This window comes from Homo sapiens, chromosome 6, assembly GCF_000001405.40.
Source record: "Homo sapiens chromosome 6, GRCh38.p14 Primary Assembly".
NCBI classification, from domain to species: Eukaryota; Metazoa; Chordata; class Mammalia; order Primates; family Hominidae; genus Homo; species Homo sapiens.
The window spans coordinates 113,410,171-113,435,292 of record NC_000006.12 but is presented as its reverse complement, the minus strand read 5'-3'; the positions used below and the strand labels follow the sequence as shown (position 1 = coordinate 113,435,292).

Genomic DNA, 25,122 nt, shown 5'->3' with positions numbered 1-25,122 from the left:
CCTGTTCATTTTCAAGGAAAATTGCACTGATGGCTACACATTCTTTTTCTTTTTAAATAAAATATTGGAATGGTGTTGTTTTTGGAAGCTGCTTGTTACCCAATGTTGCCAAAAAGGTTTTATTATAATGAGGCTATGTGTTAGCTGTTCATGTTTCTAGTGCAGCATAGCTGTATAAATTTTTTCTTTTTCTTATCTCGGATTTCAGATTTCCCTATTTTTTTAAAAGTGTATAGTAATAATATTTACCAGTATTGTTCATCCCTACCACTCAGTTTTCTGCATATGCTTGTATTTTCTATTTCCTGCTGATTTAACTTCTGTACTCTGTTGTTTATAGGGACTTGTCATATTTGCATAGTTTAAGTGCTCTGTCGTTTCTATCACAAGCCCTAGTGGGTAGGTACAACATCTATGTAGTTCGCTTGTGTAGTGCTTGGTGGAACATCTTGTGTTTCATGATTGATTTATGATGATAGAGATGATACTATAAAATAAAGCCAAAGGAAACTTTTAACAATAGGGTCTAATCCTGTTTGGTCCTCATTGGATGTCTCTCCACTTGTAGGGGAAAAAACTGGAGAATAATGGTTGTGTCATCATGACAAACAACTGACATAGTTGAGGCCAGTCGAAGGCCCAGAGCAACCCTGGTCCTGTAGTCAGAGACGACTTATGAAAATAAATGAATCTGGCTCATTGACTTGAGTTCTTGTACCCAAACTGGAAAGGTGTGGTACCTGACACAGGAACAAAGTCTGTCTGAAATCAGCTGTCCGGGATGTCATTTTCTCTAGTGCAGAGACTCGATTGCCTAAATTGGTAGCAGAGGTGGATGTTTCCTAACATGATCTTCCTTGGCCAACAGTGACTGACATCTGAGGTAGGTCTTACCTCTACCTTGGGGGCTCACTGCTTCACTGGTACCATATAATGGTGGCAGTTTAACAGTAATCTTAGTAGGTCTTTTTGGACATTTTAAAGCCACTGCTCCAAAGCATAAGCCAGGCAAAAAAATTGATTTCCCTCATCCAGATGTCCCCATTGTCCAACATAGGTGAGACATTTTTTAAAAAGGCATCTCCAGAAGGCGATTTTTGATCCCTCTCCAGATAAGAGGTTCAAGCCAGCTTTTTCTTATTGTGGGACATCAAAATTTACTATATGACCTGAAATCCTCCCAGGTGATTTAATTCATTCATAGGTTCTAGGAGAGAAGATGAAACTTTCATTTATCCCCATGCTACACACTGACCAATACTGCTTCACCAAACTTTTATCAGTCTTGTTGCATTTTATCTGTTTACACGAGATCCATAGTGCTTTCTCATCCCCACAGTAAACACTGAATTCTGTTTATAACAGAAGGGCAGGATCTGTGGGGAGCATCCGCAAAGTGCTCCAGGCTCCTTTTTCCCTTTTCTCAGAGACACCAGGAATGTGCCTTTGCACTGTTTTGCCAGCATCCTTAAATCATGATTAATTTAAAGCCTTTTCTCTCCTTGGTGAGGCCTGACACAAGCAACTGCTTCTCTGTCACATTGATTTTTCTGTCCTTGCAGATTCAGAGCCAGGGTTGAGTCCTCCTCACAGGGCGAGTTCTCTGACAAGGAAGTTTTGCAACCTAATTTACAGCTGGAGCCAAGCTTGTCAGTGAGTGCCAGAGGGAAACTGTCGCAATCGGCAGGCAAAGTATGCATTTAATAGTATTTATCCAAGCCAGTTTGTGATTTCTTCACTCTCTCCAACAAATATGTTATTTGTAATAGCTATCTTCTCTCATCTAGGTGTTTGAAAAATGTCTCTAACGTGTGTGGGCTGGAATGCATTTTGTTTTTTCTGCAGGTATATTCATTTAACAAGGGGAGTCTCTGAGGAGCTATCAAAAACTGCTTGCCATCTTTCCAAATCATCTCTGTCTGCAGTGACCATGTCTTAATCCTGAAGGAAAACAAGGTAATCTTTTCAAATAAACATTTTCAAGGATGTTTAGAGGGAACCAAATTGCTGGCATGTAGAACCCCCTTCCAGTGCTTAAAAATAGATATATTGAGGGAGCAAAACTCCAGTGAGTTGGAGTGTTTGGAAGTATTTGATATGTTCAGATGACTAACAATAATAAGCTAAATTGCAAGCAATGATCTGAATTTGTGTGTGTGAATATGAGTGTGTATGTGTCAAAGAGACACTGAGTATCCTGTTTCTCAATGTTGTTGGTGGAAAATGAGGCGCAGAGGGGTTACACACTCCCAGTAGGTAAGCAAGTTGGTAAGGGACTTTGGCAATATTTGACCCTAAGCCCATTAGATTTCACTGGGCTAACCTGACTCTGGGGAGAGTAAATATGAGATGAAGAAACATTTGATCATTAAATAAAAAGGAAGCACTGAAAGAAAAGCAATTGGTTGCATAAAACTTATTAATGCAATACTTCTGCTCTCAAGGAAGTTGACATGCAATAGAAAGAGAACATGTAGAGTATGGATTGAATAAACCAAAAATTATGTAGATGATGTAATTACTATAATTAAATCAAAACAGATTGTGTATGCTGGAACTTATTGTATTACTCACAACATAATTTTGTATAACTTTTTTTTAAACCTGTCTCTTTTCCTTTCTGGTCTGTGGGTTTCTGAAGGACAAACCTCTTTTGGCAGTTGGGCCTGAAGCCCCAGAACTTATGCTGGTCCTGGCACCAATGAGGACAGAAATGATTGAGCACATGAATTTGGTATTGAGTTTGACATTATTGTGCTTCATTTTTTGTGGGCCTGGGATGTTTTCTACGTAATTCGTTTATCATTTATTGTTTAAGGTGTCTGCATACTCAAAATATCTTTTTAATGTCCTCCGCCTATACATGACATAAATACTTTATTAACTTTGTTTAAAAAATCTTATCACAGTGCCATCCAACAGGAATATAATGTGAGCCATGTGTAATTTAAGATTTACTAATAGCCATATTAAAAAAGGAAGAAGAAACTGGTGAAATTAATTTTTAATAATGTTTTATTTAGCTATATTCAAAACATTATCATTTTAACATGCAAATATAAATTTATTAATATCTCTTACATTATTTTTTCTAGTAACTTTTTAAAATCTAGTTGGTATTTTATATTTAATGCACATTTTAATTCAGCCCTCAAACTTAATTGCAGACCATTGTATTTCAGTGCTCAATGAGCACATGTGGCCACCGTGTCAGCACATTTCAATAGTTCGCAGGTCAATGTAGAGGACATTTTCCCCCCACTTAGCATTTCATCCCTGTTATTATGCCCACTGAGTGCCGTAGTATGGAAAAAACATGTGTAGCCTAGTAGCACAAATGTAAACTGGGGTGACTAACATCCTAGTTTGCCTGAAGTGGAGAAGTTTTCTGGGACAAAAGACTTGCAATGTTAAAACCAGGACAGTCCTGATAAAGCAGAATGGTTGGTATCCCGCAAGTAAACTATGTTGGTCCAAACAATATATCCCCTCCATCACTGTGATTTGTTTTGACCTAAAGCATAGAAACCTGGCTGCCAATTATGGGATTTTTTTGGGAAGCCACTGGGAGAAAGAACCTTACTTTCTGCTGTGGTTATTATCAGCTAACCTTTATATCATGTGGGGAGAACCTGTTTGAAAGTATTACCTACTTTGGAGGAAATCACAATGAGAAAGAAACTGAGTTTTGGTGACTTATTTTTCAGTTCTTGGACACTGTCGTGTCTGAACCTATCCTATTTTTGGACTTTTCAGTGAATTAATACATTCTTTACACCTGTCTCCATATTGTTTGTTTAAACAGTTAAGGTTGCATTTCCATCATGTGAAACTGGGATAGTTCTAACTAATAGGTTTAGAAAAAAAAAAAAAAAAGAGTACAAGAAATCTAGTTGGAATTCTTTAGGTTCATAAGAAACATAATCAGGCTGTCTATTTTATTTTAACACAGCCTCCTCAAGCTACTGTTGAGTATGTATGTGGTGCTGCCTAGGAACAGTAGGTATTTTTGTGGAGCAAGGGATTGCAGACGGTGAAGTAGCTGCATACTGGCAATAACCTATGAATCTGTGGGGATTCTGAAGAGTAGGAAGCAATGAGACCTGCTGTCTTTCCTTTATTGTCCCTTCCTCTATTGCTCTCAGACTGTTGTGCTTTGCTTGTGTTGTGGGTGTTTTGCTCTGCCATAATGGCTCTCATGATGAACTATAAGCTTCATTCTAGGTCCTGGGACAATCTACAGTTCATGAGATTCTCACCTATGGGTTAGGGACCCTTGGAGATTTGCAGAGTTGCAAAGTCAAGCACCAATTTATTCTTTCTTAATCAATGGATACTAAAAGTGCAATCATTAGTACATAGAAGGCTTGTAACAATTTTTGATGGTTTCAGAAGAAGATTGAGTAAGCATTCAATAGATAGATGCTACTGAGACACTAATATGTAGCTTGACATGGTTAAATGCCTTATGTGAAGCACTTAACAAGTGTTAAAACATCACATTTAAACTTCACAACAATCTTATTGCTGGCATTATTATTCTTATTGCTTTGAAATAAAAAAAAATAGGCTGGGCATGAAGGCTCATGTTTGTAACCCCAGCACTTTGGGAGGCTGAGGCAGGAGGATTACTTGAACCTAGGGGTTCAAGGTCAGTCTGGGAAGCATGGAGAGACCTCATCTCTATGAAAAGTTACAAATAAAAAAAAAATAGCTAGATGTGATGGTGTGTGCCTGTAGTCCTAGCTACTCGGGAGGCTGTGGTGGGAGAATCACTTGAGCTCAGAAATTCAAGGCTTTAATGAAGCCATTTCTACTCTAGCCTGAGTAACAGAGCAAGACCCTGCCTCAAAAGAAAAAAAATTGAATTATTACATTTTCTTTATTCGTTACTCATTTAACAAACTTCATTTTATACTATTATATTCTCAATGAATTTAACATCTAGTGGAGAAAGTAGGTGTACAAAAGTGATTATAATGCTGTGTGTGAGCATATTAACAAATACAGAGGGGAAGGAGAGGAAGGGTCTCCCATAGCAGATGTAGGTGCAGGGTACAGAGCATGGGATCACCAGAAAACTCCCTGGAAGCACGGTGCTTGAGCCAAACCTGACACATCAAAGTAGATCTGCACTATTGCAACAGTCTAGTACAAAATAACTTTTTCAGGAGAGAGTTTCATTATCTTGCAATGACAAATTTTAGTTTGTTTTTCTGCATCATCGTGACATAAGTGACAGGATTCTGATTTGTAAAGCAAAAGAGTTGGATTCTTAACCCTGAATTTACTACTAATGAGGCCCTTGGGCAAAATCTCTCAAACAGTTGGGGCTAGAGTTTTCTCTCCAACGAAGTAAGGTAGGATCAGCAATTCATTCATAACAGCATCTCTTCCAAACTCCACACCCTGAAGGCTTCAAGTTGTGCCCTTCATTTGCACCTTTATTGTCCTTCTAGTAAGAGTCATTACCTGGAAATCACAGTTCAGAAGCAAGGCATCACAGTTAGGTGTAAAGGGTGCTTAGCTTACAAAGAAAAAGCTTCGACTAATTTAATTTTTACCAATATCATAAAATCACCCCATGATAATTTCAGGGTGTCTTCACTCAAGTATAGCCTAGGACAGGTAGTGAAGATGTGGTAAATGATGTTAATGGCAGCAGAGAGACCGGGTTTCACTGAATGCCTTGATCAAAGCATTACTAGATTCATGGTTAAAGAGTAATGAGTTTCATCAGATATTTAGTAAATGTCCCTTAAAGTTCCTTTTACAAAAGCAAAACCAAACAACGCAACAACAAAACAATCCCACACATTTCTATAGATGTAATTTGAAACACATCAAGTTATTAATCTTGGAATCTGGATTTTCCAAGAAATCAGCTTTCTTGTTGTATTTAATTTTGTTGTATCTGAAAATGCATTTATGTATGTGTGCAGTTATGAGGTCAGGTAGAGAGGGAGAAAGAGACTACTGTCTGTTGTATTGTTTCCCAGTTTAGTGTAGATGTCAGGCTTGATGATAAAAAATGAGAAGATGGAAAGGAGATAACTATTTATTGACCTTACTGGTGCACTTAACCTCTCACACTGGAATTTTTTTTTTGGTTTATAAAAACCTCTTGATATAAATAAATAAATAAATTAATTAATTAATTAATTTGTGACTTAAATGAAAATATCTCATATTTTATGAACAAATGTGGCAGTGAATATGTACTATATATTAGTTAATGTTAACATACCTTAGTTTTAAGATCCGTAGAAGACTCCATTTGACCTTTACAATGTGGATGTTTTTCCTTACCACAGGTGGAAATTGATTTTTACTTCTCTGCAGCTAAGTATGTGGCAGTCTTGGCCACATGGTGACTCAGCAGAGGAGCCTATGTACTGGCTGTCCTGATGCTCTTCCTGATTCAACTGATTCTCTACACTTGATCTTAGCCAAAAGGCCGAGAAGCAATGATTCAACTGATTCTCAAAAGGACACCGCTGCAGGAATAAACCCACTTCTAAATATGGTACACTTGGAAAGTTGTCCAGCTCGCAATGTCAGAGTCACAGACTTCATGCACACTCATCTCAAGTCAATGTTATCTAACACATTTCCACTAATTATTGGATGACACTAGCAAGAAACTCTGATATTTTTCACCTAACCTTTGCTAATTTAAATGTGGCCAGCCCACCCTCATACTGCATTGTGATGGGGATATAAAAGCCAATGAAAGATATCATTAATTGTTAACAATAGTCATCACTGACAACTTCCTGTTGAATGTCACTGTTACTCCTGCTACTGCTACTACCACTACCATTTATGAAGCTGCCATTATTACTAACTCAAAGCTTTCACAGATACAGAAACAGGTGTATTTTTTGTTTTGTTTTGTTTTTTGTTTTTGTTTGAGAGAGAGTCTTACTCTGTCGGCCAGGCTGGAGTGCAGTGGCACAATCTCGGTTCACTGCAACGTCCGCCTCCCGGGTTCAAGCAATTCTTGTGCCTCAGCCTCCCGAGTAGCTGGGATTACAGGCATGTGCCACCATGCCTGGCTAATTTTTGTATTTTTAGTAGAGACGGGGTTTTACCATGTTGGCCAGGCTGGTCTCAAACTCCTGACTTCAGGTAATCCACCTGCCTAGGCCTCCCAAAGTGCTGGGATTACAGGCATGAGCCACCGTGCCTGGCCAGAAACAGGTGTATCTTTAAAGCATAACTTCCTCTCTGCATCTTGCTTCCCCTCTTTCTGTCCCTTCTCCTCTCCCACCCCCACAGTTTTGGCTTCACTTTGCTCAGGCTGTGACAACTGTCTTTAAGGGAGCTAACTTTTATCTGACTGTAAAGCCAAGCAAACTAATCTTGCAAAACTGTTCTGCCACATAGGTTGGTCTCTTCCTGTTTGGAATTCATCTATATATTAGCAACTTGGAAAGCCTTTGAGCTGAGCTAGTGCGCAAAGCTGCACCTTAGACTGTGGTTTACAGTGCTGCTTAATTGTCACAACGGTGTCACTCACCTTGTCCTCACCTAACCTGCAAGGTAGACATTTAGGCTGCTTTCTTCATCAGTGTAAGGTGAAATAGCAGATTGGTGTGTAAAAAGTGTGGCTTGGAGTGTGGTGGTATGAACTGTGGGATTATTTACTATAGGGTCTCATTGCAAATCCTTTAGAACACTTGCCTCTTACACCTTTTGTCTGTCTGCTCTTAAATATTTTCTGTCCTTCCAGCATGCTATCTCTACCTAACAGAAGGGGTCATATCTGTCTCAACTAAAAGTCATTCCATTTGGGTCATTCGTCTGGAGGCTGAGACAGTGGAAGAGTCAAACTTGCCCTGAGCTTCACTCAGCCAGTACCTGTCTCCTCTGCCCACTGTCCAGCAACTTACCCTGACCCATCCTTTAAGGAACTTGCCAAGAGAGAGCAGAATACTCTTTCTTTCTCTCTCTCTCTCTCTTTTTTTGTCTTTCATTTATTCTTTGGATATAAACTGCAGACCTACTGGTTGTAAAGCACTGAGTTTCACAGTGAGGGCAACAAAAGAATAGAACACCTGGTTCCTATTCTGAGAGGGTCACCTCTGTTCACACAACTTCTGCCCATCTGACTCAATCTACTAGGTAAGCGGCAGAGGGGCTTCCTTCCCCCCAAAACCTCTACTGAATTATAAAAGATGGGGAAATTGGAATTTAGCATTTTCAAAACCCCACCTCTTCTTGCAGATTTACTTTCTTTCACTTTCCCAAGCAGACTTCATGTGGCAACCAAACTATACTGTCAAGTACCCTCTGAACCCGCCTGCCCTTCCTGCCTGCATGCGTCATGGAAGAGCTGCCTTTGCCCCAGGACACTGCTCTGGCCCCATTACCATCACCATCACCAAGGAAAATACATCCCTTATATTTCAAAGCCCTAGTTCAAGCATGTCTTCCTTTCAGGCAGATAAAATTATTTTATGCTTAAAGATGCAGAAAAAATGACACACACACACACACACACACACACACTCATAAAACAACTTTAGAGTCTATAAGATCTCATTCTGCACTTGGGTGCTTACTAAAAATATCTCACTGGAAGAATAACTAGCCTTAGTTTCCACATCTGCAAAATGGAGATAACAATACTATAAAATGATTATGGCTTTTTGATGATGTAGTTTGCATAAATGGCCTAGCCAAGTACCCGGCACCCGTAGGTACTCTACAAATGCTAGTCAGCATCCCTTCTTGGAAATCTCCACGATTAAATGATATCTTATGCAGCTGTTTGCAGCTTATCTCCTGTTAGACTCCAAGCTGCTTAAGAATAGTGACTATGGGCTTATTCACATGGGGTTCCCTGCAGCCTTGCTTAGTGCTTTGTACCTAACAGATGCTAAGGCATATTGGATACAACAGTTTATTACTGTAAAAATACAAATGACCATAGGTCTGGAAAGAGCCAGGCTCAGCAGGGTACAAAGCAGGCCTGGGGGTACAAAGCCCAGGCTCTTTAGAACCTTTGCCTTAGCTCAGCAAGGTTCTCAAGGGTGGAGTAATTGCAGAGAGAAAATGGCAGGCTCCATGTGCAGGCTTATGTGATTTAGGGCCACAGACTGACCCTTCCTGGGGTCACCCACAAGATGAATCAGGAAAAGAGAGAACAGAGATGGGGCCAGCTGCTCCCAGATCCTTAGACATTCTAAATAAGGGGGAGAGACTCAGTCTTTTCTGATTAATCTTTGATGATTTATTCTTTGGACATCATTTAAAAGGAGCATTTTAAAGTAAATTAATTGAACTCTCATGACCTTTTACCCTACTAATATCATCAAAAGAAACTAGATCTTGAATTTTAAAAAGCGCTTGATTTATTTTCTGTGACTTACAAACTACTGAAGAACATCAGTTTTTATTTTTTGAAATTATGAAAACTCCAGCTTTTAAAGCAAGAAGTCAAAACAGCTCAGTTTTGAAACATCCCAATTTTAGCAAATGAGTATTGAGTGAAAGGTGTCATAGACATTGGTAAAAGATAAATATGTAATTTAATACACAGAAAACTGGGTAAGTATTGTCTTCAAAAAGCCAATTCCCCTTCTACCACACTGACCCTGATGGTATTCTTGAGTCCAAATGACTTGGGTAAATTCTGATTAGTATAAACCAGTTTTTTTTTTTTTTAATTATTTTACTTTAAGCTCTGGGATATATGTCCAGAACATGCAGGTTTGGTACTTAGGTATATATGTGCCATGGTGGTTTGCCACACCTTATCAACCTGTCATTTAGGTTTTAAGTCCCACATGCATTAGGTATTTGTCTTAACGCTCTCCCTCCCCTTGCTCCCAACCCCCTGACAGGTCCCAGTGTGTGATGTTCCCCTCCCTGTGTCCATGTGATCTCATTGTTCAACTCCCACTTATGAGTGAGAACATGTGGTGCTTGGTTTTGTGTTCCTGTGTTAGTTTGCTGAGAATGATGGTTTCCAGCTTCATCCATGTCCCTGCAAAGGACATGAACTCATTCTTTTTTATGGCTGCATAGTATTCCATGGTGTGTATGTGCCACATTTTCTTTACCCAGTCTATCATTGCTTGGCATTTGGGTTGGTCCCAAGTTTTTGCTATTGTAAATAGTCCTGCAATAAACATACGTGTGCATGTGTCTTTATAGTAGAATTTATAATCCTTTGGTATATACCCAATAATGGGATTGCTGGGTCAAATGGTATTTCTAAACCAGTGTTTTTTTGTTTGTTTGTTTGTTTTGTTTTTTTTAAAGTGCAGGAAGCAGTTTATTAATTAATTCTAAAATCAATTTAGTACTTTGAATCAGAATTTTTTAAATTAATTGATAGTATAAAGAATAAAATAGAATGGAAAATATCTGGAGGTACTGCACATAAGGATTCCAATTTCTATTTTCAGAACTTTCATTTGTAATTTATGTACGCATCTAACGTGTATTTACGTGTATACTGAGTTAGGGTGTACAACTTTTCCCTGAGGCTGTATCTCAAAAACTTTGGAAGCTGAAGAATTTGTCCAAATCTATGTTCCTTTTTGTTTGTAAATCACCTGATGATGGTGATATAGCTGTGGCCAACGAAATGTCAAGGGAAGTCTGCTGGGGAAGGTAGACGTAGGATAGGAGTATGGGAAAAAATTATTCACTCAAAAGCATGATGCACAGAGGAGCTATGATCTTTTCTTGTTTTCCTCACTGGATGTTGTCATGTCTGTATGTACTTCCTGGAACTGTGGCACCATCTTACAACCATGAAAGGAGCTCACATGAAATCATGTTGAACATAGCAGAGCGGGAAGATGGAAGGAATCCGAGATCTATGTTTGATGTTAAGCGATGATGTTAAAAACTTAAAAAACTCCAGAACTCTCTTACCCCTGGGCTTGTTATAATAAAAAGATAATAATCCTCTTAGTGTTTAAGGCACTTGAGTTTTGTTGTTGTCGCTTTGTTTTGTTTTTTTGGTTGCTGCCAGCTGAAAGCATCCTAAAGGATAAAGAAAGCTTATTTAAAGAAGAATGAGTAAATCAACCCCTGGCATATAGGCCTGGTGGAAGGAAAACTTGGAAAGGTACCTTGGGCCAGATCTTGAAGAATGTTGAATTTCAGTGCCAAACACTGACACTAATACAGTACAGGCTTACAGTTCTGAGCACAGACTCAGGGGCAGAGTATCTGGGCTTGAATTTCTGTATGCCACTTGTTAGCTGAGTTTCCCTGAGAAAGTAATCAATCAAAGCAGTATGTTAGTTAGACTACTAGTCTGTCTGGGGTAGATTGAAAAATGGGAGAAATTGAAGGCAGTAAGGCTAGTTAGAAGACTGTTGTGACAGTCAAGCGATGAGCAATGAATGTGCTCTGGAAGAAATTGAAGGCAGTAAAGCTAGTTCGAAGATTTTTGTGACAATCAAGTAATGAGCAATGAGTGTTTGTGCTCTGGAGATGGTGAAGGAAACACAAAGAAAGAGAAGGATGAAGGAGATTCTAGAAAGGTGGAGTTGACAACAGACTGGACGTGGCCATGGGGCTGGGGACGAATCAAGTCTAGCCAAATGATGTCAATGCTGGAAGTCTGGGTTGGGAAAGGGGTGATGTGTGTGGTGGGTGGGAGTAGGAAGCAGGCAGGGGAGGTCACTTCCCCCGGCCCCCTTGATGGGATGGTACTGTATTTACTTGTAGTTTCCTCATGCAATTCCCATGTTATGAATGATAAGCCAAAATTCAGAGACATTAGGGAGATTTTGAGTGATGTAATTACAAAGCCAACATTTAATCTCAGGAATTGTTTACTTTAACTCTCTCCTCTATCCCTAACGCTTCTTGAGAGCCACATACAAGAAGAAGAAATCGGGAAATCAGGAGAAGGTGACAAGTTTTAGGGAGAAGACAGAGGCTTCAAACGACTGGTTTATAACCCAGATGGGAAATACAGGAAGGGCAGTGTATAAGGCTTAAAGACAGGTCTTTCTAGAATTATTTTTTTTTTAATTGAAGAAAAATGTGGGTGAGAAAATGAAGGTTAGTATTAGAGGAGACAAAGGAGTATGGAGAATGGCTGGGAGGAAGAACAGGAAGGAGAGATGCAGTGAAATCCAAAGGAAGGGTGCACAGCAAGAGGTGAGGTTCGTTCCAGTGTCACCACTAGAGATTAAGGGAAGGAGTGGCTGAGAAAAGGACACTGAAGACAATAACAAGTGGATTTCTGGTAACTTTTAGGCAAAACATTTTATATGCTTGATAAACAAAAGTGCTAGATTGTAGGACCTAAGGATGAGTGGGGGGAGCTGTGAATACCACCAATATCTGGAAAATGTGTGTGAATTAATGAAAAGACACAGGAAAAGTAAATATCTGACAAAAAAGGGAAGATCTTTTCTACTTTGAAGTAGAAAGAATGATAGATAATTTGATGATGCTTTAGAAAAATAGAGTAAAAAAAGAGAGAGCCATAGTAGTGAGAGAGAAAGGGATTGAGAGGAGAGGAAGGGAGAGAGGGAGAGAGAGAGAGAGAGAGAAAGGAGAGAGTGCAAACGAGCCTTCACAGAAAGCAGGGAGGGGCTAGTTATGGCAAGAAGACGAGCGAATCAATTCACCTAGAGTAGGAAAATATTTGACAGCATTAGACAGAGAATGTGGAGATGATATGTATAAACTGCTTTGCAATACAGAAGAGGTGAGTAAAACCAATCATGAGTAGCATCTAGGGGTCAGGGGAATTACAGGTTGCAACTTCTTCCAACACTAGCAATTCCCTAAAGACTTCAGGAGAAGGGGAGGAGAAAATGGAAGGGATGTGAAGTTTACAACCAGTGACTCCAGAAAATGCTACAAGGGTATTCGAAAAGCAGCACTGAATGGAGTTGGAGTCTGTTCTCCTGTAGCCAAGTTCTGACTGCTGGTGAAGTGCCCAGCATTCTAGTCTTGACCCTGCTCTAACTTGTTGGAAAGTCTTAGGTCTTTTACCATAAAGATCTTAATTACTTTTATATATATAATGGGACATATTGGCTATGGCTTTTTAGGGTTTTTCTGTGGAAATTCAAAAAGATGACTTGTGATGATGATGATGATGATGATGAAGTTGATGACCATGACACAATGACAATAACCATGATGACTATGATAAACATAGTAAGATTAGGTTGGTGCAAAAGTAATTGGAGCTTTTGCCATTTAGAAGCAATGGCAAAAACCACAATTACTTTTGCACCAACATAGTAGTAACAGCAACAGCATCTATTACAATCGATCTATTACTATTACAGCATCTATTACTATAGTCTTTTCCTTCCTTCCTTCCTTCCCTCCTTTCCTTTCCTTTCCTTTTTTCTTTCCTGTCTTTCTTTCTTGCTTGCTTGCTTTCCTTCTTTCTTTCTTTCTGTTTTGAGATGAAATCTCGCTTTGCTGCCCACCCAGGTTAGAGTGCAGTGGTGCGATCTTGGCTCACTGCAACCTCTGCCTCCTGGGTTCAAACAATTCTCATGCCTTAGCCTCCTGTGTAGCTAGGATTACAGGTGTGTACCACCATACTCAGCTAATTTTTTGTATTTTTAGTAGAGACAGGGTTTTGCCATGTTGGCCAAGCTGATCTCAAATTTCTGGCCTCAATTGATCTGCCCACCTCAGCCTCCCAAAGTGCTGGGATTACAGGGTTACTATAGTTTTTCTATGGTGGGCCAGATACTGTTCTAGTCTTCTACATACATTAACTTATTTAACCTTCCCATCAGTTCTATGAGGTTCCTGTAGTTTTTCCCCCTGGTTTACAGAAGAAACTTGGGTATCTTGAATTCAATTGCCTAAGTTTAACTACTACTAAGTGACAAAGCCAGGACTATAAGTAGCCTGGCTTCAGATTAAAAATTTAGAAAATGTTAAGCCTTATATCTTGCAAGATATTATTATAAAAGAAACAAGACATGGTCTGAACCATTTTAATCAGAGAATGTATTTTGAATGTAATTTTTAAATTATATCATGTACCTCTTTTCTAATCCCACTAGGTTCTTAATGACATTGTGTCTCCATAAATCCCCCCACCCTGCCCCCACTTGAAAAACAGTGCCTTCCATCTTCATGTAGCTTCCTAAGGAAGATGAACCTTTAATGTTGTTTTTTGGTATTTATTTCTGTGAGCAGCAGCATGTGTCTCCTCTGATGGATTACTCCTAAGAAACAGAGATGGCAACTGCTGCCGCAAGCTTCCTGGCCGACCCTGATCCAATCGGTATATCAAAAAAGATGATTGAATTAAGAGGAATATAGCTAGTTAAAGGTTAGAGAAACATCTTCACCATATCATACAAATGTGGAATCAAATTTTGAATGTGTTTCCTTAGAGTATGACTTCTGCCTCAAGTAGTCCCATGCTAGATTCCAAACAAATTGAATTGGGTAGGTGATATTTTATATCAAGAGTTGTACTGCACCCACAAGAGATTCCAGACTGCTAATCAAAGGCTTACTAGGCTGTTCTAAACAGTCCACAGTGCTTAGTAGGAAACCATTGCTCTCAGGACTGTAACAGCTTGTAGAAGACTATTTGCATTATCTTGCAATTCAGTTGGCTGAGTGTGGAATTGCTGTAGCTACCTGGAATTTGATCAAAAAAAGTTTAAAGAAATTAAGTCAGGGTGAAATCCTCTTTTAGCATCATGAAAACAACAACCCAAACAGGACTTAGTCTCCATGTCGTGTCTGCCTTCCTATGGGGTAGTTGGGGGCTGTGCTGCATTGACACAAGGCAAATTTGGAGCTGGTCATGCTAGAGTCAACAGATGATAAGCCAGTGCTCTGCATTCCTGGTTTTTGTAACTCTTGTAATGTGTTGTCAGATTTTATTTTTTTGTCCAGTTTCTCCACATCCTATCATATACAGCCACAATCTCAGATAAATGTTCTATGTGGTGAACAATAGCACTTTTAGACTCTGAAAAGGTCCACTTTCTCTTTTTAACCTTGTCCATGTTAGAGAAGGTTCAGTACAAAAAAGAAGTTATTGATTGAGAGCCACAGGAACTAGCGGGTAAATAGTAAAAACAGTGTGGAATCCATGCAACAAGCCCAGCCAGGTAGACATCAGCCCCCACAGCAGTCTCAGGGATGGGTTGGCTACCTCATGCTGTGTCTTCAGTGGTAGGACAATTCAGGCCTGCATGAAAGAAAGTCAATGGCAATGTCAAAGGGCCTTAGCCATCTGAAAACACAGCCCTGATTCCTAACACAGCGGCAATGCTCCCTTCTGGTTAGGTTTCAGCTTGCTTCTAACACACGTTTGTTTAAGATCTAATTGCCATACTTTTCTCCTAGGGTCTACTCCACTTTTCGTCAAGAAATGAAATATTACATCAGACTTTTTATTTAAAAAAAGGATCTCTAGTGTTAGGCTACAAACAACATACCAGGGACTTGATTCTGGCTCTCTGAGATCCTACTCAGAATTGATGAGAACGCTGTGGTCTTGCTCTTCTGAATATTTCAGGGGTCTGCTTACTTTACTTACAAAATCCACTTGAAGATGTGTGCAAATCAAATTTTATTTTAATGAATCGAACAGGATCTTACTTTTTTTAAACTAACATTTTCACTAATTTAGGAATGAGTATTATGGTGAACCAGGTTTCAAATTTGTTCATTAATATCAATTACTTAAATACCATCTTCACAATTTTTGGCATATCATCATACTAGTCTACTGATATTTACATAATTTTAAATGATTCTTTTCATAAATAAAATTACATTTTTATTGAACCTTATGTTAAGGGTTATAGTCCTGAATTCATAGATTTAATGCGATACATGTATGTATATATATATGTATATACACAAATATATGTAGTATTTTTCTGAATACACATTATAGTAAAGATGGAGCTATCACAATAGAGATCATATTCATTCAGCTCTCTTGTAAAATCATCCTGTATTCTAGCAGTGCTAAACATCTTACCATCTTTGGAGAACTCTGGCTTATGTGTTAAGATCTTTTTTTTTTTTCCATATATTTCTAAAAGATACCACCTAGAAACTTACACTTTTTTTCTCTTCTATTTTTATTTAAATTTATCTCACAACCTTTAGAACACATATATTTACTCTTTGACTAGTCACTTTCTTCTTTTTTTAACTCTTAGACTTCCATGATAAGAAACTACAGTACAGCTTTTGCCAAAATCTGCCACGTCTTAAGGATGTCTAACATTGCCTTCAAGTACAGTTAACGTTCATAAAAACATACAGAAAGCCATCTTTATTACTATCACTGAATTTTCATATCCACAGACTGGAAATGGCATCTGCGATTCATATTTAACCTGCAAGTGCTGCTACTGTGAACCATTTGCTGAGCATTTCTTCTTGTAGGGAGCTGAAATCCTAAGGTTGTTAGAATGATTTCTTCCCCATGAACAATTCTACAAAACCATCTCACATCTCCCCCCAGCATAGTAGGTAGGAACACAGGTTTTTGAGTTAGACCTGGGTTTGAATCCTGTCTTAAATCTTTGGTAGTTTTATAACCTTCTGCAATTATATAACCTCATGCAGCCTCAGTGTCCTCATTTGAAAGTCAGATTACATAGTTAAAGTGCTTAGAACAGTCCCAGGCATGAAATAAATGTTAAATTAATATTGTCTATTATAATGATCAAGTTAGAGGTACTTTCCAGAAATGTGATAGGAAGGAAGCAAGGGGTGAAGTAGGGGGACTTTTCTCTTTCTTGAAAATAAAAGCAGCATAGAATCAGGAAGATGAGGACAATTTGAAACAAACATGAGCTTATAACCTATGCTGCCCTGGGACTATTATCTGCTCTAAATATTAAAAAAAATTTTTTTGGTCTAGAATTATTTTCTTAGATGTTAGGTAGTTTTATATATGGAATTCACTTGGTATGCAATCTATATTCATGCTCTGAAAGTCAAACTAGGTTTGCTTTATAATATATTCTGAAATTTGCATTCTATTCTACCCTGTCTAGACTTCTACAACTAATAGGCCAAAAGAGTTGAAGTTGTGACTGAAAGCACTTCCTTGTCTCCATGTACTGTACTCCAGACCTTAGATCCAGAAAAGAGATGCTTAATACAGTTCCAGTCCTGAAATGAACCCTCTAAAATTTTCCAGACTTATTTTTGTTAGACTAAAATCTGAAACAAACACGTATTTGTACAATGTATGGTGCCTTTTTTCCTAATACCCTAGTATCTGTACTTTTCAAGATCAGTACTATTACAATTTGAATTCCCTGTAAAGGCAGAGGATTGTCTTGGTTATCAATGCCTTCTTGGTCTTTCAAAATTATTAATTGAATTGTGGCACTTCCCCGATTAAAATTCTTTACTGACTTCCCATTACATTGGGTAAAAAACAAACTGTCCCCATAGCCTTTAGGGACCTGCAGAAGCTGGACTCATTCTCATTGGAGGCCACTGTCTCGATTCCCTGGTCTCCATCCAGAAGGGCCTCTTTCAGCTTTTGCAAACTCTTTCCCACCTTGGGCTCTTCGCACATACTGGTCCCTAAATTTGTAACTTCTTTTTAGATTTATTTATTTGTTTATTTGTTTATTATTTTTTGAGATGGAGTCTTGCCCTGTCACCCAGGCTGAAGTGCAGTGGTGCTATCTCTGCTCACTGCAACCTCCGCCTCCTGGGTTCAAGTGATCCTCCCGCCTCAGCCTCCTGAGTACCTGGTACTACAGGCGCACACCACCACACCCAGCTAATTTTTGTATTTTTAGTAGAGACAGGACTTTGCCATGTTGGCCAGGCTGTCTCAAACGCCTAGCCTCATGAGATCCGCCTGCCTCAGCCTCCCAAAGCCTGGGATTACAGGCATGAGCCAACGTGCCTGGCCCAACTTCCTCTTATTTAAAATGTCACATCCTCCCCTTTGCCTTCCCTAATCATCTTATTTAAATAACTCCCTTCTTTTCTGCCACAAACCCCATGCTGATTTTCTATATCTCAACAGTCACTCAGTTTCCTTAGTAATTCTTATAGTTTATTTATTCTCTTTCTAATTGTCTGTCTTTTCTAAATGATGAGCTCTATGAGGTCAGGGTCACATGCCTGTGATAACCCTGCAGGGTACATGGCATGTGGCAGATATCCAACAACTATATGTTGAATGAATATGTGAGCTTGGGGAGAAACAATGATAAATGTTCCACATATTTATCACCATTGGTATAGAGAACAGAAAGAGACAAAATTGAAGATTTTGAATCCAGATTACAGAAGGGCTCATTAAGGGTATCCTGTAGTAGGTAATGATCAGTGTTTTTGAGCAGGAGACTGATGCCATTTGGTTTGTGTTTAGAAGGATTATCTGGCAAAAAAAAAAAAAAAAAAAAATAGCAGACTTGATTGTACTAGAAAAATAGCCCCAGGGAGACCAGTAACAGTATTACCTGGAAAAGACTGGAAGTAAGAGAAGGGTTTTGGATAAGGAAGAGTGTTGATTGAAAACCTTAATAAACTAAAGCAAATAGTCAAGAGAAAACACATTTTTTTCTTTTGGTGGCTAATTCATTCAAAATATATGTTTCGAGGTTATTGGGGAAGAGGGTATAAAAACATTATTCTCCATCACAACTCTCCAACCCAAAGAGGTTACTTTCAAAGATAGAGCTGGATCTAGTATAGCATCATTGCAGTGTTTTTGTTCAATAAGTCTTCTGGTCATGTCTAGGATGAGAAAGTTAAACAGTTGTTTGGTTAGTTTGTTTCCAGATATTTTAAAATCTCCCTATACAGAGCTATATTAATTGGCACGTATTTGATTTTTTTTTTTTTTTTTTTTTTTAATGGAGCACTGTGGAAGAGAAAGGCTGGGTTTCATTCCTTTGGGAAAAGCTGTCTCAGTTTGTGGAACAAGAATTTTGAGTCAGAACTTTTAGGCTTAAGTCCTGGCACTGCACCAGCTGGATAAAATTAGGCCAGTCATCTAACCCCTAAGCACTCTGTTTTCTGATCTATAAAATGGAAATGAATTATACCCTAACTCACAGTAAATACTTTTAAACTGTAGGCTGCTCTACAAATTCTAGTGACCTGGATTCAAGACACTCTATATCTTCACCTTGCCCAAATAGCTATATATTAACATTTTAATTTATATTATACCCAGAAATTAGCAGAAGGGGATTGACAAATATGAGAAATGGAGAAACTAGAAACGCCAACCAGGCGAGTGTATCCAAGGGATGGTGGACTAGTAGTGGATAACTTGTGGGCTGTACACCTACCTTTACACTTAAAATCATCAGGGAATTGCTGGTACTGATACCAAATTACCAAATATTGTTTTTGTTTTGTTTGTTGTTATTGGTTTTTTTTTTTTTTTTTTTGGTGAATTTGTGAGAGTATGGTAGGTGGCGAAGAAGGGAATTTTCATATTATGTCATCATTGTTACCAACAACAATATTATCAGTATAAGGCAATGGTTTCTAAACTCTCCTGAGTCAAGAAATTTTTGGAGTCTCTGATGAGAGAGATGGACTCTAGGAAAATTTTCATGTACATCTTTCCCCCACCCCAACTATTTTGATTATAAATCAAAGGATTCACAGACTACCTGAAGCCTCTCTAGAGACCAAGCAATCCAATGGACCTCAGGTTAAGAGACCTGGCTATAAAGTAGCAAGTGAATTTTCTGTTTACAGAGTCTGTTTTGCTTTTCTTTGTTTGTTTTTGTTTTATTTTAAGTGGGATTGTTGTCATGGGTCAAAAAAGTCATAAAGGGTCTGGCATTGTGCTAGGAATGTCCTCAAACCTTAATGCTTCTAGTCATTTTAGTAATACTGCTGGGTAAGGGAGTTTGTTGTTGCTTATATAAAACTGGTAAGAAGAAAGACTCCTGGCCAGGCGCAGTGGCTCACACCCATAATCCCAGCACTTTGGGAGGCTGAGGGTGGTGCATCACTTGAGGCCAGTAGATCAAGACCAGCCTGGGCAACACGGCAAAACCCTGTCTCTACTAAAAATACAAAAATTAGCCAGGCATGGTGGTGCGTGCCTGTAGTCCCAACTACTCCAGAGGCTGAGGCATGAGAATCGCTTACACCCAGGAGGTGGAGGTTGCAGTGAGCCGAGATTGCACCACTGCACTCCAGCCTGGGCAACAGAGCAAGATTCTGTCTCAAAAAAAAAAAAAAACAAAAAAAACAAAAAAAAAAAACAAAAAAAAAAACGGCTCCCAGGTTTTAGTAGTCACTATATACTCTGTTGGTTACTACAACACAGATTGTAAATATCTTCTAACATTCTGTCTCTTAGGAATTTTACTCTCTCAAAAAATAGACTGTTCAATGTTTTTAAACCATGTTTAATTCACAAATACAAAAAACGTACATGCTGATCACTGTGTATGTTTAGGGCTCCCAAATCTACAGTTCTATCTTAAGTTCTTTATAATAATGTCAGACGGTTCTTCTGACATTATTACAAAGGTCTGCTGAAAAAATCCGCCTGGATATTCCAATAGACTACTTACTCATAAAATATCCAAAAATGAGTCAGTCTCCTCCATCATCATATTCCAGGAGTCTGCTCCATCTCCAGGCTCCCTCTGTTGGTAATTGGCACCATTAGCCTCTTGCTGGCCACCAGGCCAGGCTCTGCCAATGCTTCAGAGCTCTGCACAGGTTTCACCCCTTCTGATGTTATTATACTTCCCTGGCACTGTGACACCTTTCTTATCTCATTTGGAGGAGAGTGAGGGCTGGCGAGAGAAAATCCAAACCACTGTTATTTTTGAATTGTTGCTATTATTACTACCATTATTATTAGTTTTCAAACAAGCACATTTGTGGTGATCTTCTTAGCATTCTAATATCTTCCTATTGAAATGAATGCAAAATTGAAACTCCTTATCACAACCTACTTGATCCCATAGGATTTGGACCCTGTTTCTAAGATTATCTTTTGTCCCTTACCAGCTTCCAGCCACAGAGGCCTTATTCTTTTCTTTTCTTTTCTCTTTTCTTTCCTTTCCTTTCCTTTCCTTCTTTTCTTTACTTTTCTTTTCTTGCTTGCTCTGTCACCCAGGCTGGAGTGCACTGGCATGATCTTGGCTCACTGCAATCTCTGCCTCCCAGGGTCAAACAATTTTCCTGCCTCAGCCTCCCGAGTAGTTGGGATTACAGGCATGTGCCACCACGCCCAGTTAATTTTTGTATTTTTAGTAGAGATGGGGTTTCACCATGTTGGCCAGGCTGGTCTCGAACTTTTGACCTCAGGTTATCTGCACACCTCGGCCTCTTAAAGGGCTGAGATTACAGGAGTGAGCCACCGTGCCCGGCCAAGTGAAGGTTTCATTAGGGAACCATTGACAACTCAATGCCTTTCACCACAGAGCTAAATTTATCTTTTAGGGGATAAATGCACTGCTCAGCCCCATCCTGGAGGGGCTCACTCAGCAGAGAGGAGGAATGATCACTCCTAGGATACTCTCTCATCTAGGATAACTTACAATGTATCAGAGCACCCCTGAACCCAAGGCATGTGTATGTGTATATATATTTTTTAAGACAAAGAGTTTTGCTATTAAAGTATTCAACCTGGAAGAACAAGAAAAAGCCTAAGTTTCACTGAGATGAGACAAATTTCCAAAAATGTTCTTTTCTAGGTCATTAGAATTTCCATTTCTGACCTATAAAAGAGGTGCATATATCTATATTTTCTCTTGTATCATTTATAATAATAGCTGTTTAACTTTGATAACACCTGTAATCAATTTTCAGGATGCAAGCTATTTCTAGAACATTAAAAAAACTGATATTCTTTAAATAAACTAAGTGCATAAATGGTTCAAGTGCTAAAATTCAAGGCTTCTATGTGTATGATGCATACTGATATTTGAAGCAATTTTACAGAAGTGCATATAATTGAAAAAGTAGCTTTATTTGGGTAAAATCAAAGTATTTATTAGTAAAGTCCTCTTAAATGCTCATATAAAAAGTAACTATAGACACATAAAATATCATTATTGTTATTATCATCATTAATAGCTAGCCTGGTACTTTAATGATTTTCTTGAAGTTTCCTTATTTGAATTAACTTGTTGGTCTTGATTGCAATTAACATTACAGACTGCTGAGTCATGCTAATTCTCAGAACAAAAAGAAAGCAAACCAAGCAACATCAAACCAAAGAGCTCTTTAAGAGGATCAAATTTTCCATGCCTCAAGGATAATTTCATATTTGTTTATACATATACCCTTTTATATCAATTAATATCCTAGAAGTAAAGATTGTTCATATCAGAGTAAAACAGAAATTTTGCTAGCTCTCATGATACAAGATAACTCTAGGTATTTGTAGGTAATGGCCATGAGTTTAGACTGATTTAAATTGAATTTCAGCAAATTATGCCCAAAGAAATGATATGATCTTATTCAAAGTCAGAAAACTCAGTGACTCTGAAATTGGTTCTTTGGAGTAGATCCATATGGTCAGTTAATACAATTTGATGCTTATCTGGTTGGTGTTCTGGAAAACAAAGTTGGTTTTTCTGCAAAGAAAAAAACAAATTCCAAAGAGTCACATAGTTTTTTATTTTCATTACATGTTGACATTTTGCTCCATTTTCTATCTTTTTGTGGGCATACACATTTTGAATGATGACACGGTCAGATAAAGTGATAGTTTCCCTGAAAGAATGATTCCACCTCCAAGGGAAAAATTCAACTCAGAAAGAAAGGAAATGGTCAACAATATATAGCAGAAAATACCACTTTCAAAGCTAAATTCTTAGTTACTAAAAAAAAGAAAAAGAAAAAAATCCTATTAGTTTCACAACGATAAGATTAGTTTAGGAGAAGTATCATGTAATTGCAGAAGATATTACAAGCTATTTTTCATGAGTGTCCTTGTTAACAGGTCTTGGATGGATGATTTTACTACTCAGATGCTGAATTACAAGTCTCAGCAACTGAAACTCAATAGAAAAAAAAACTCACGTGGAGTGGAGCACATTAATAAAATAAAACTGCAGATTAAATCATGTTTTAGGTGGGAAAAAACATCTTTTATTTAAAAACTGTTTTATAAAACTTTCAAAAATTGATAATTTAAGAATCCAGGGCTGGGCTCAGTGGTTCATGCCTGTAATCCCAGAACTTTGGGAGGCTGAGGCAGGCAGATCACTTGAGGTTGAGTTTGAGACCAGCCTGGCCAACATGGTGAAACCCGGTCTCTATTAAAAATATAAAAATTAGCCAGGCGTGGTGGCAAGCGCCTATAATCCCGGCTACTCGGGAGGCTGAGGCAGGAGAATTGCATGAAGCTGGGAGGCGGAGATTGCAGTGAGCCAAGAGTGTGCCACCAGACTCCAGCCTGGTCAACAAGAGCGAAACTGTCTCACAAAAAAAAAAAAAAAAAAAAAAGAATCCAAAAGTATTTAAGGATCATTATTTAAATAATAAATTTGATGTGTAAGACTGTAGATCTAAATGGCAGTGCTTTGTAAATTGAAATATTCTGATGTATTCTTCAGAGCTTGCAAGTTCTATGAGAACTTATTAGTTTTTTCATTTTACTGAATTAAAAAATGTACATGTTTCTTACGCCAGATCACCAAAGATTGCTATATGGATTCAGGGTCTCTATTTGTGTTACTGTTGCATCAATGCTGAGAGATCATCAAAGAAGTTAGTACTTAACTCCTAATATCCTTGGCCCAAACTAATGTCAAAATATTTGTCCTAAGGTAGCCATTGAGATGAGTTCCTTTTGCCAGTATAATGATAGAACTTTTTGTTTGCAACAAGAATGTGCAACGGAAAAACTATTTAATTGACCAAGACTTTAATTCCTTATTTAAAAATTTAGACTTTGGTCTGACACCATAAAAATGAATTTGGGAACTTACTGTTATGGAGTAATGAAGAAAATTTAGGAGTGGATTTACTATGTAAATAAATAAACTATTTGTGGTATGTGAAGGCCAAATGATATTATGGAGATGGTTTTATCATAATTGGTTAGAGAGAAGTAGTGGGACTTTGGGGCCTTCCCTTGTCACAGAGAAGTGCAAACACACTGAAGTGAAAAGAGCCCCACCCAAAGCAGGAGGCAGGATACTCATGATATGCAGGCTATGAGGAAATGTCAGTTGGGGATCTTGCCTTTATATGTGTAACAAGGCATTTTTAAAAAGTGCAACAGCAATAAATGCAAAAGTAAATATAAGAATTTTTTAATTTAGTGATTTTTTTACATTATTAAATTTTGGGATTCATTATTGAATTTTATTGATAATGGACTGATGAAAAATTAGTTAATTATCAAACTTTTCTGTTTTGAAACTGATTGTACAACACTGAAGTTTGAGGAAAAGTGATACAGGGAAATTCAATTTAATTTAGATTCACTCTTGGACAAACTGTAAAAGTTGCTTGAAATATACAAATAAGCAAACCTAGATTTCTTCTCTCCCTCCTCCCTCCCTCCCTCCCTTCCTTCTTCTCCCTTCTTTTCTCTCTCTTTTTCTATTTGCCCCTCCTCCACTTTCTTTTTCTCCTCCCCGTATCCTCTTCTGAAAGTTGAGAATGGCAAGATAACAACCCCATTTTAAATTCTGGATAATACAGATGCTTATTTAGCAAGCTAAGAAAATTTCTAACACAAATGTAAAATACATTTTATTTTTTCTTATATGTTCTGATTTAAAGGATCAAGAATGCTGTGAGTTTCAGGACATTTGGGCCACCTTATTTTTTCGCTGACTTAGATCTTAGTTATGTGAAGACACAGTAAATTGATATGCAATTACAGTTCATTACTCTTCAAAGATCCAGATTTTCCTGCAATAACTTCCACTGAAGACTTAACTCTTTAAAGAGCTAAATTTAGCTCAATGAATAATGTTTGAGAATACACTGTGTACAAGACACTGTACTAGAACCCTGGGATAACAAGAAAAACCAGAGGTTGTTTCAGCCACTGAGCAACTTAAAATCTGATATGGAGGCTACATATATTTTCCATTAAAATTTCAAAACATATATTTGTATGTTTAATGTTATGCTACTATTGTTTTATCACTTAAAATGTTTTCAGTCTTTTTTACTAGAGTTCAGAGCTTATGAGAGATA

General features: G+C 38.1%; 1 long non-coding RNA gene across 1 annotated transcript; it reads left to right on the top strand.

Moving 5' to 3' along the window:
- The first annotated feature begins 1,845 nt into the window (after positions 1 to 1,845).
- Positions 1,846 to 6,753, top strand: LINC02518 (long intergenic non-protein coding RNA 2518). The gene is made up of 2 exons (NR_149098.1): positions 1,846 to 1,956; positions 6,315 to 6,753. It is a non-coding gene; the product is annotated as a long intergenic non-protein coding RNA 2518 (long non-coding RNA).
- The last annotated feature ends 18,369 nt before the right edge of the window (positions 6,754 to 25,122 follow it).